Genomic DNA, 13681 nt, shown 5'->3' on the forward strand with positions numbered 1-13681 from the left:
AATAGTATCTCTCGTTATGAGAATATTCACATTATTTCCTCAATTTATCTTTGCTGGAACAGAACTATCATAGGTAATGATGAAAATTATGTAATCTTTATAGGGTAAAAAGAATTCAGTTTGGTGGAAGTGAAATAAGTGCATTTCTGAAAATCAGTATCTGTTTGATAGGGGAACAGTGACCAAAAATAAAAGTGTTTCATCTGAGGAGTATTTGAATTGCTAAAATTTAAAGATAATTTTGAAATGCTAGTGTAATTAACACTTTAAAGTGGTGACGATCCAAGGACTGTCTGACTCCATGAAGACTGGCATAGATATTCTCAGCCATTTACTAAACCAGAACAGATTGTCGAGTGTAAAGTTTTACAAGACATGTTTCTAGTTCGAGGATTGGTATCATATGTTTGGTAAAACGAAGGGAAGCTACTTTAACTCTGCTGCTGATTTTTTTCCCCGAAACATCTGAAATATCAAACTGAACCGGGCAATCGTTTTAAAGTATTAAGGTCAGTGCTCTCAGTACTCAAAGCCTTTAAGACCTTTGGAGCAGTGCAAAGAAAAGGGCTGTATATTACGAATATATATTTACAAACTATCTAGCCTATAAAATCCTGGAACAATAAGAGAAAAAGAAGTTCCAAGTTCCCAAAATAATGAAAGGTGGAAATTTTTCCTTAATTACATTATAAACCATAGCAAAGACATCTTTATTGAAATGTCATTGTATTCTCACCAGTCTGTTCATTAACTTTTCATTCTCTATAATGTTTTGGACTACTAATTCAGTCACTAAGAACAGTTCAATAATTAGTTTTGCAATGTTATTTATCTTGCATACTTTTCCCTTCTCTTTATTCAAAAGAGTGGGGGCATTTATGAATACACAATGACAAGCTTAATAAAACTCACAGATGTGAGAGATTTATAAGCAGAGGAAAGAGGCCTAAATGGCATTCACATTGCCATATGATTCATAAGTCCTCTTTCCAATTATGTAGTATTATTAAAACTTAGAATAAAAATAAGTAATAACCATGCTGCATACATTTGATCCTAGAAATTACAATTTTGAAGTGTGCCTTTGCACTATAGATGTCTGAGGCTACAATATACAATTATTTTTTAAGGGATAAAACTTCTCACACTTTAACATTGAATTTTGAAAATGAAAATTGATATTTTTTTAAAAAAATGAGGGTTCATTTTAAAAGAATTATTTGAGGCATGCAATTTAAAAAAAAAAAAGTTGTTTCCCCTTAAAATATGGTCTGGTTTGTCACAGCTCATCTTTAGGGACAAGTATCGCAGCCCGAAGCTGAACGGTGGGCTTTGCTGAACCAGGTGGTCTTTATTTTTACAGACTCACGTCCAGTTTGCTGTCTGTCATCACAGGACTTAATGTTGAGAACTGACAGGTTTCAAATATTGATGGGGAAATGCTGGTGGATTCAGAAACTTGGAACTTGACCAAAATATCCAAATCTCACAAGTCTATAACATCAGCCTGGAAAGCAGGCTGTTTTATAAAATGTCCTTGGTCGCCCTATTTTCACATGGAATAAAATAAAATGCCACAGGAGAAAACTGCTTCTTTGATATTTTAACACATGAATTTTTTGGAGTTTCAGCACCTGGATTTACAGCCTAGTTTAAAACAGGTAATACATCTCTGCAAGAGAGACAGAATGAGTTTCTTCAAATGTATTTGACACTTAAAAATTTTACTTGAGAGTATTTTTTATTCATTTTGTTTCCTTTGATGCTTTTTTTTCTATATTTTTCTACATCCATGATGCTTAAGAATATGAAATTCACTCAGCACTTCAGAAAGTGTCATGACCTCTCAAATAAGCCTCCTTTCTCTATGGTCTTGTCTTCTTTTGTGACAATTATACTACCTAGAGCTGTGTCTGTCTCAATGAAATCCCTGTTCCTTTTTGCTTCATTGCCTACTGAATTTTTTCCTCCTATGAATTGAGGGAGGAAAGGAAACTTACAACTGTGCTGGTTCTGTGTGTAAATAGAATATGTGCAAACTCTCACGTGCTATGTCGCCTAGAGGAGTGATCTAATTTTCTCAATTATTTCATGCTAATGAATTGTTCCTTTTTGGTGACAGTTCTGGAGATAGCTGAATGCATAAGACAAGATTTCATATTACCATTTTTAGGTTCTACTGTTATGTGTGGGGTGTGTGTGTGTTTAAGATATGGCTATAGAACCAGAGTGTGCCCACTTGAAATTCTAATACTGAGAGAGAGAACAGATTTCCGGATTTGAATAATTTCATTTAGTCAATAAAGGGATAAATCATTCTGCAACAGCTATTTTTCCTTGACGCGACTTTGGATTAGAAATTCAGTCCATCTCAGAGAAGCACTTATGCAAATGCTGGTGATAGTGGTGTGGCTGATCACATTAGAGTCTCGGGTTACTAGATTACCTGTGTGGCTGTGATGAAAAGATCAGTGTGTTTGCATGCTGAGATGAAATGATGCAACTCATCGTATCATGTCATCAGCAAATGTTATTTTAATAAGACTACAAATCATTGTGACATCAACAACCTCAAACAAATCTTCTGGATATGTAAATACACTGATTCTTCCCTAAAGGCCAATGAAAGATGTAAAAACAACAACAAAAAAAGAATGTCTCAATGTCTCATTCATAGAGAGCAACATCCAGATAGTAGAATGTTGCATGTATTTTAAGCTATAAACTAACGTATACTTCCAGAGAACAAGTGATACTGAGGCTTTTGTGAGACTGTGGATGATTAATTCTCAAACAAGTTAAAATGAGCTCTCAACCTGCCTGCTAAGGCATGGAGAACAGGGGTGTGGATTTTTTTTTTTTTAATTACCGGCAAGATAATCAGGAAAATATCATAGGTACACTGTTCATTCCTCCCATCCCTGGAATCAGCAAAAAAGGAGAAAGTTCTAGAAAGAGGAATACTGCCAGCAACACTTAACAGACAACCTAGACTTCTGTAATGCCTAGATAATCAAATCTGGTATTTTCTTATAACAGATTTACTCAAAAAGGCCTGTGACACTACCCGATGATTTATTGGTTAAAATAGCCTATAATCCTTCTAGAAAAAAACGGAAGAGTTCAGACCCCAAATTGTTTGAACACAAGTTGAATTAACCAAGAAAAATTAGATGCATGCCCAGGATTGTTCTAGGGGGCTACAGTAACTCTGTAACAACTGTAACTTCTTCTTTTAAAAAATTCATCCACTACATGGTATGCATGAAACATAAAGACACACAAAATAGTGTGTTTAAAATATTACAATTGCATTGCAGATATGATTTTATCACTTCAGTTTACTTCAACTTATTAGAGACTTAGACAAGAAAAAGGAGAAAAAGAAATAGAGTAAAAAATCAATTTGATGTGTCTTTGGGTGTTCTTTAAAAAAGTAAATTGAGGGCAGCCTTGCAAACACTTGTTACCTAAGAAATGCCATTCTGTTACCTTCCTAAAAGTAGAGAGGCAAATATGAAGCCACAAATGCCATAATGAGAACTGCAGAAAACTCAGAAGAGCCAGGAAAGGAATCTTGGAAATGCCTTCTGAGATTTAACTTGAACAGCTCTGGCTGGAAGTTCGATTGGTGGGGCAGTGATGGTGACCACAGGCATTATCCAAATAAGGGTATTCCAAGCCTAGTTTCTTTGGAGATTTTCAGAACGCAAAAGTGTTTATGATGTGTTCTGTCTACAGATGAGAGTTTGTGGCCACACTTGAAGCCATTTTGAATGCAGATTCATTTCACATTTAATAAGACAATGCCATGTAAAGTGGTGAAAGATTACTAAAAGCATAATTTTGTGGAGGTTTAGGAAGGAATGAAAATAGCTTATTTTTCTACCACCATGGATTCTCCAACCTCCCTCATGTTGCAGCCTAACCATTGGTGTTTGCACCACAAAAATACAATATTCCTTCCAAAACAATTGCAAGTAGGATATCCATTACTCTAGCCTATATTTCTTTTTCCTTGAGAAAACATTGAAATGTATCTCTTTACCTATGGTTTATTTTAAAATACACCAGCTTCTCTGGGAACACTCTTTTATGCTTATCTCCTATCTTCTCTTTCTTAATATTCTAGAAATATAAGGTCTGCTTTTTCAGCATTTGCATTCATGGGGACCCATGGGATCACATTGCTAAGTCAGATGGAAACATTTCAATACTGAACATGCAGTATTATTCAACTAAATTTAAAAATAAAAATAATGGTTGAGGTTACTTCTCCCTTTAAGATTGATATAAATATATATATAATATATATATCATATTGTGTGTATGATATATTTGTGTGTATGAAATATATATATATTTCTTTTTTTGAGATGAAGTCTTGCTCTTCACCCAGACTGGAGTGGGATCTCGGCTTACTGGAACCTCCATCTCCCGGGTTCAAGCGATTCTCCAGACTCAGCCTCCCAAGTAGCTGGGATTACAGGCACCTGCCACCATGCCCAGCTAATTTTTGTATTTTTAGTAGAGATGGGATTTCACCATGTTGGCCAGGCTGGTCTTGAACTTCTGACCTCAGGTAATCTGCCCACCTCGACCTCCCAAAGTGTTGGGATTACAGGCATGAGCCACCACGCCTGGCCATATATGACTGTATATTATATGACATAATACACTATAATAATATAGTTTGAGTACCCTTTTTTTCAATCTCAAAACCTAATGCATGTTTCCTACTGAGAACTGATTTTTCTTATTTAACCAACTCATAGGAATTGTTCATGAGGTATTCCTGATATTTCATTCTTGAAATCTTCTGAGTGTGTGTGTGTGTGTGTGTGTGTACATCTCTGTGTATATATACTGGAAAGTGTATACGTATGCATTAACCCTCTGAAGGGTTAATTTACCTCAACTACCAATACTATAACAAAAAATTTTTAATCTTAACTTTTAAAAAGACTTTATTTCATTTTTAACCACATCATTGTAAGAAGGAGTTCCAAACTGTACAGGCTGAAGAGGTTGGCATTATCTAGTCTGGAACACGAAAACCTCTTCACAACACAGCTGCACTTTTGGTAAAGATTCAATATATAAAGTGCAGCTCATAGAGACTATTGGAAGTTGTAGATTCTCACAGACAATTGAAGAATGCTGCCTCGAAACTTCCTTAAGATTCTTAAAGTCAGTTAAGAGTAAAGTAGAAACAACGTCTGAGTTGGTCACTGTTGTAAATTATGGAGATAAAATTTCCTCAGCAGGCTGCACAGGGTAACTTAGACTGAGATTTGGAGGATTGGAAAAAAAAATTTAAGTTGTGTGGGCCTATATAAAGTTGCCAACTTTTTATTTTAGGCATTAAAATCATTGATATTAACACCAACCATCCACTTAAGATGATCATTTCTAAAATGTTTCAGAATCAAGAGCAAGACTTAAATTTATCTAAATTTCTTTTTCAATCATTTTGCTAAGGACCAGTGAAAACTTCACCATGGAATTGATCTTTCCCTTTGCTAGCAATTGCGAATCTCTTAAATGAATGCATTAGGTTTTGTACCCCTGGACCTGGATCACTCACCCTTAATTCTTTGACTCTAACACTACATACTGAGTACCTCTGCAGGCTGGTATTGAGCTAGGCAGTGACAAACATCGAGGATTGAGAGCAAACAACATTCCTACCCCAGATTATGGACTAATGAAACGTACTACCCCTTCTTTTAGCTGTGGGACCCCTTGCTAAATACTTGAAAAAACTTAAAAATTGCGTAAAATGAGAATAACAAAATCCCCATTGCAGAACTGAGAAGCTAAGTGACACCCAATTGGCATTCAAGTTACATGAGTTATTATCATCAAAAATTATGAAGTGTTAAGTTATCTGAGAAGATTTTTCTTGGGGAGAAAAAGCAGATGAAGTGGCAGATTATCCTTCAAACATTTCAGGGCACAAAGATAAATACAGAAAAGACGGCTGTGGTACCAGCACAGACAGATGCTTCCCAATGGCACCGACATCGAATAAAGTGAGCACAAATCTATTAAACGTGTCTGATGAATAATTTCATCAGTTATTGGGAGAAGTATACAAAATCACCTCTTAGAACTCAAATTCACAATTTGTCATAAGGCAGTAGCCCAAAGAATCGGGATAAAAACCTGAATGGTATCATAATCGGACTCTGGAATTACATTTTTGTTAAGCTTTGTACAACTTAGAAAATCTAATAAAACATCTGACAAAAGAAATAGGTTCCGACTGACAGCAAAGCCCGGAGGCATGTGCTCCCACTGACTAAGAAGTTAAGATGTCACAAACTTCTCAGCCCTTTCCTTCACTTGAGCCTCAAAGTATTGGTTGTGAAGTGGAGTAAAGGCACTGTCAAATTTAAATTTTAAATAGATACATATGGAACAACATTAGTTTTTTTAGAAAGGCCTTTTTGTTTTTTTTTTTTAAACTCTCTTCTCATGGAACCCACAGTCCAGAAACTCACACAGTCTTTCCTCAAACTGTGTTAGGGCTTTTGATGCCAGGTATATTTTCTTTTTTCTCTCTTTTTTTTTTTTTTTTTTTTTTTTGAGACGGAGTTTCGCTCTGTCGCCCAGGCTGGAGTGCAATGGCACCATCTCGGCTCACTGCAAGCTCTGCCTCCCGGGTTCACACCATTCTCCTACCTCAGCCTCCCGAGTAGCTGGGACTACAGGCGCCCGCCACCAGGCCTGGCTAATTTTTTTTGTATTTTTTAGTAGAGACCGGGTTTCACCATGTTAGCCAGGATGGTCTCGATCTCCTGACCTCGTGATCCGCCCACCTCGGCCTCCCAAAGTGCTGGGATTACAGGCGTGAGCCACTGCACCTGGCCAATGCCAGGTATATTTTCACCTACATATATTTATGTGAAAATATATACACATATATTTATATATTTTTTTCACCTATATTTTCTCCTATACACAAAGCGCAACTTTGCAGAAACTTTAACTCCCACTGAAATGAGATTCTAAATGTTTCCCAGTGGGATGAGGGGTAAGATTTGCAATCTCTCCCCTGGGTCCTCCTTTTCCCCTCAAGGATGGTACCAACCCTGGATTCAGGGCTACAGCACCCTCAAAAATCTGCTTATGGTTGTATGATTCTTACCTTCAGATTCTTCATTTTTACTGAAGTACAATAGTCTTTATTGATTTATTTACTTTGTGCAGGTTTTCACTAAAAAGCTAGGTACCAGGGCAAAAGGTAACAGTCAGACGGACAGTTTAGGGATAGAAATTTAACAAAAGTTGCTCAATAGGCAGGGTTTTGCTCCTAGGGACAAACCAAACTCCTCCTGTAAAATCAATCCCATTTGTGTCCACAGCAGCCCAGGGCTCCCTGTGCCCTAATGCCCCATCACACTGGTCAGGTAAGAAACTAACTTGCCTTTCACATTGCAGGAGAAAATGAGGGAAAGGCCAATACTGAATATGTAGCTATGGAAGGGCCCTTCTGCTTGAAGTTTCCAATCTTTTTTCTTATTTATTGACTATAAATAACAACATATTTCAAAGTAGAAGTCATGGCAACTAGAGGAGACTATATCTTGAACGCACTTTTTTTTTTTTTTTTGATTCTCCAACATGTATTTGGGCCTGCTTTAGTGCAGCCTATGGCTTGTTACTGCAAAGCTTCATGTAAGGTCAAAGCCCCTTTTTTCAGCACACACAGCGGTTTGATGGTAGCTCCTCCCACAACTGCTCAGTCTTGAACACACTTCCATTTCAGCATCCTCACACAGATCTTTCTTTTCATCCCTTTGGGCAACTCCTTACAGCTTTACAACTGGGTGGTTTCTGTCCAGGTGGTCTCCTCTCTAGGTACCCTGTCACCACACACACACACACACACACACACACACACACACACACATCCCACTGCCACCACCACCACCACCATCAATCCACCCAGTACCATTTACCACAGTGAGGAAATAAGCAGGAAGTTTTCAAATACTGCTTTTCCACCTTAGTCTGTTCTCAAAAAACTTCTACAACTCTCACCTGTGAATTTAATTTAAAAAAATACAAATCTTAGCTTAACAACTTAAATCCAACCTTACCTCTTACTCTTCCTTGTACAGATGTCATGTTTCTTCTACTTTGGTCAGCTTAGCATTTTGGAACATGCAGCATGCTCCCTGCCCCCCACATTAAGTTGTTGCCAGTTTCTCTATCTCAAATCTGCTCTCTACATCCTCTCCAAGAGTTGAAGTCCTCCATAGCTTTTAAAGCCTAGTTCACCTCTAGACTTCAGGAAAAGGCTTTCCTGGGAGTGTTGCTTTTCCTAATGTTTTCTGAGAGTCATTTTGGATGCGCAAAATGTCCTTCAAACACGTCACAAAAATATAATAATTTAGAATTATTCAGAATGTGGTACAATGATATGTTAGAGAATTCCATATTTCTCTGTTTCTTTAGACGAAGACTTAAATTTTTAAAACTATTGTCACAAACATAAGGCTGGAAAAAAGGTTAAAGGAAAACTAGGATGTGGTTGAGAAAGGGTACAGAAACTCTACTCCTCACAAATTATTACAATCACTGTTCAATAAATTCAGAGAAGAGTGGAGAGAAAAAAAAACAAAAAAAAAAAACAAAGAAATGGTCCCCAGATCTTTTGGTATATACCCAAGCCCCCTTCTATGAAAAATGGAGGAGACTCTGAGATGATCACAGCCAGTGGGAATCTACAAGAAGCCAGGAGAGAAAACAGAAATCATCTCCGTTTGAAGTCTCACACAGCAGGATGGCTGTGTGGTGCAGTTGAATCTTAAAACTCACACCCCATTTCATGAACTAATGAGACCTGTTCTGAATAATGAGTCAGGTTTATCAGTGAGGCAGATAGAATTCTCATTTGATGAGCAGCCAATTGGTGAAAAAGGGATTCCTAAACAATTAGAAATGGAGAAAGATGATACCACGGAAGCAATTCATTCACTAGTTACTTTCTGAAGATACAATGAGGACTAAAATATGCACAGTTCCAGCTGTCATGGATCCTAGGGTCTGGAAGTTGATGTCTCGTAGTCAAGACAGGAGAGGTGAGCTTTTTAAAAAAGAAACTGGTACTTAATTCCAGATCTGGGCCCCAAAGAAAATAAAACCTTGCCAATTAGAGAAGTGAGATTGGGTTGTGCTATGTCTTTATTACTGCAGCGTAATTGTGTCTATTAGTTGATCCTCCCTCGCACTGATTATATCACATTCCTTTACTGTTTCTATAATATGCACCCAGATGAAATGTATAGGGTGTTTTGGAAAAGGAATAAGGATGGAAAACTGGTTGTGAAGGAATAATCCCTTTTTTTTGAGTAGTAGCATTATTCACCGAACACACGTCTTTATATTACAATGTTATTTTGCTCATTCTATGAAACAGAAATAATTCTAAAAATCTTTGCAAATTTTGATAGATAATGGACTTCTTTAAATAAACATATATAACATATATACATATGTAGATATACACACAAATGCATGTGTACACATGTATACAAAGATAGGCATAGCTATAACATGTGTTGCACTGTCTTCAAGGAGAAAAATGTCTATTCTAAATTTATTAATCTTAGGTCATTTTCTTTTTGACTCAAATCTTTTTTGTTTCATTACCTTTACTGACTATTTAATAAAGATTTCCAATAGATAATATTTACTCAGCAAGCATGTGGGGAAACAAATATTCCCATATAGTGCTGGTGAAAATAAAATTAGTGAAAACTTCCTGGAGAACAATTTGGCAATACAAATCAAAAATCTTAAAAATATGCATATCATTTGGCTTATAAATTCTACCACTAGTTGCATATTAATATATGTATCTATCTATAATTTCGCTACTAGATATTTCTACTCCCTAGTCTATTAAGATTATCTATCAAAGTTTGCAAAGATTTTTAGAATTTTTTTGTTTCATGGGATGAGCAAAATAACATTGTATATAAAAGATACATATTCAGTGAATATACTACTATTCAAAAAATGAATTATTTTTACACAGCCAGTTTTCCCTCCTCATTTTCTCCTGAGGTGTGAGACTTCAAGTGGATAGGATTTCTGTTTTCTCTCCTGGATTCTACTAGAATCCCACTAGCCCGTGATCATCTCAGAGTCTCCCCTATTTTTTATACAAGGGGATTTGGGTGTATCCCAAAAGATCTAGGGACCATTTCTTTGGGTTTTTTCTGCTCCCTACTCTTCTATAAGTTTATTGAATGGTGATCATAATAATTTGTGAGCAGTAGAGTTTCTGTGCTCACAAATTACTACTAGATAGTAGGTATATCCAGTAGTGGAATTTATAGATCAAATTATACATATATATAAATATATTTCTCAAAAGGCATATAAATATACAAAGATGTATTTATGAGGATATTTATTAGAATGTGGTCTGTAGTAGAAAAAACTAGACCCCATCTATTATTTATTATAAAGTACAGTATGATAATCATAGCATGCATTTAATTCTATATAGTCATTCAAAATGGAGGCATAAATGTATATTGACATGAAAAGATGTTCATGATACCTGTTAAGTAAAAAAGGGATTGTAAAAATGGTAATAATGATAACTAATATTTGGATAGTATTTACTACAAGAGAGGCATATGTCTCTGTACTTTATATATGGTAAAGTCACTCACTTCAAACTCATTGCTATTGTCCCTGGTTTATGAATGAAGGAACCAGGCCTAGAGATCTTCAGTGATTTGTGAATGGTAGAACAGCTAGTAAATGACAGATGTGAGCTTTAAACTTTGACAGCCTGGCTTCAGTTCGCATTTTCCATGTCTCCAACATGATACCTGTCTTTGTATAGACACATGCGGGGTTTTACGCATAAATTCACCTTTATATGTGTATATACAAAAAAAAATTAGAATGATATTTATTAAGATTTAACATGATTATCTTTAAGTGACTACATTTTTTTTAAATTTCTGTTTAGCTATGTTTTCTGTAGTGAACAATACATTGCTTTTATCCATTTTAAAGAGGGAAAAAATGTGAAAAGACTACAAATATATTCTGCTTAGCACAGCTTGGGTGCGTACCACAGGGCAGTCATGCTGTCCTCCTCACCCTGCTGCTGGAAATAGTAACAAAGAGCTCCCAAGGGTCACAAATAATGCACAATATGGAAAATCTACATGGAGATAATTGAAAGTTGAACAAAATTTATTCTCTCAGCTTCTGTGAAAGTGAGACACCCTGAATATTGAATTACTCTTTCTGGCCACTGAATTATTGCTTTCTTACAAAATGCTAAATGGTGCCACAATGGCCTGAAAGAGTGAATATGGCATCCAAAAGCGCCTGACTCATATAACCAGGCGGGTCAACTTTAGAATTTGCTGGTCTTGGGATCTGTGTCTGGGTCCTGTCAAAAGTAAAAAGATTTGCTTGCAATTTACATGGAAGTGATTATAAAGTACAGCTTGTCATAGTATCAATTTTATTTTACTTTCAAAGTTAACCAATATGGTTTGTTTGTTGCCATTTTTTTAATCCAATAAACTTTAAGAGAGGAATGTGGAAGACACCTGAGAAAGGCCTACTTCTTAAATTCATCTGCTCCAGGTGAAATTATACCATGCTTACCTCAGGTCTCAGAAAGAAGCACTTTTGTTTCTCCTGGTAGAACATACCAACAGTATCTTCCAATTTTATTCAAGTCATATCACGTGTTGTGGGAAGGACCTGGTGGGAGGTAATTGAATCATGGTGGTGGTTACCCTCAGGCTGCTGTTCTTGTGATAGTGAGTAAGTTCTCATGAGATCTGATGGTTTTCTAAGGGGCTCTTCCCCCTTTTTCTTGGCCCTTCTCCTCACTGCCGCCATGTAAAGAAGGATGTGTTTGCTTCACTTCCGCCATGATTGTAAGTTTCCTGAGGCATCCCCAGCCATGCTGAACTGTGAGTCAATTAAACCTCTCTCCTTTATAAATTACCCAGTCTCGGGTATGTCTTTATTAGCAGCATGAGAACAGATGAATACATACTGTTTTTGACTTTTTAGTTATCTCTCCAGTAAAACAAACTTCAAATCTCTATGGTAAAGTGAGCATCTGTCAATAGATTTTCTCTCTTTCTTTCCTTTCTTTTTTCCTACCTTCCTTCCATTCTTTCCTTTTTCTCTCCCTCATCTTCTTTTCTTCCTTTCTTCATTTTTTTTTTAAATAACTGTGATTCAGTTTTTATGCTCTCTTACAAAATCTGTCCTACAAGTAGATTACACAATCTGAGCACAGCTCCTTGTAACACTACACGTGCTTTCAGGAAAAGCTACGTTTTCGAGAACTGAAATTTTAGCCACCACTACATGCTGCTCTTGTCTGAGCTCTGCGATTGCTTCTTATTTCTCCCCTGAGGATTCAATGCATTTGGTTCAAGCACCATTGAACGTGATGCTGTATTAATTGCCCTGGAGGGTAGCGAGGCCTTTGAACTGTGGCTGTGAGGAATATTTTGCTGTAAGACATGTGTCAGCACTTGGCTGGTTAACTCTGGGGCTCGGCTGTGCAGCATGCTGGGACCAAGGATCTGGAAAACTACTTTGCATCCTAATCTTACATCTGTTTTCCATCATGTAGTGAGATTGACTGGCTATTCTAACAGGGAAGCATCATTCTGAAATAGCCAGAGTCTACATACAAATATTGTACTGTCAAAGAATATTAAGAATTTTCCATCATTTTTTCAAGTTCTTCCAAACAGCTGGCATGCATAGGTGAATGGGTGATGCAATAGATTAATTGCCTGACCTTTCAACCCAAGAGAAATTGTCTGTGTGTAAGCTATATGTCAGCATTATGATACTAAAACTTAAATTGAAGATGATGCCTCTGCTTTCAATGAAAACAAAATTGCACGTTTCATTGGCCTAATTTTGCCCATTCTACCTTCCACGCGCCACTTGGAGCTTATTCGTATTCAGTTTGAATGCAGAGTAACATCTCAAATGCAGTCAACACCTTTCTTTCAAAGGACACAGTCAAGTCTATTCACCTGGAATAGTTTCTTCTTCCTCCCAGCCCTCTTGAGTCATAACTGCCATTCACATTGCTACAGATGGAGACAAGTAAGAAAGTTTACAATTACATAGTAAGTCTACAGTTATAATTTCAGATAGTATCTCAGAGCTATAATTATATTTCTGGACTTCTAAGTAGCAGATCAATTTGTTTCCTCTGGATGCTGTGACCTCTCGAATAATATTGGTCATTTTTACTTCTCTCATTGACTCCCAGCTTTACAATGGTTATAGACACACTTCATAGATGCCTATGGCGCAGCTGGGAAGCGTACAGCAGATGCTAAATTTCAATGGAAATGGTAGTTTTTAGAGTCATTTGTTCTCCTAAAGTACTGTGATAAAAAAAAATGTGAAAATAATCGTTGAGTAACTTTCCACACGCCTCTTTAGAAGCATGATCCTCACAGTGTCTGCATACTTCCTGCTTTTTAGAGAAAGAGGAAAGGTGGTAGAATGTTAGGCCTGGAAAGAAAACTTCCATAGCATCTGTAGAAGGGAAAAAAATGACTGACCATGTGTCAGTTAAGCATTCTGCTTGGAAACCTCAAGCAGTGCATTGTGCTTTTCCTTTTTCTTTAATTTTTAATTGGTT

This window comes from Homo sapiens, chromosome 2 (assembly GCF_000001405.40).
Source record: "Homo sapiens chromosome 2, GRCh38.p14 Primary Assembly".
Classification (NCBI taxonomy): domain Eukaryota; kingdom Metazoa; phylum Chordata; class Mammalia; order Primates; family Hominidae; genus Homo; species Homo sapiens.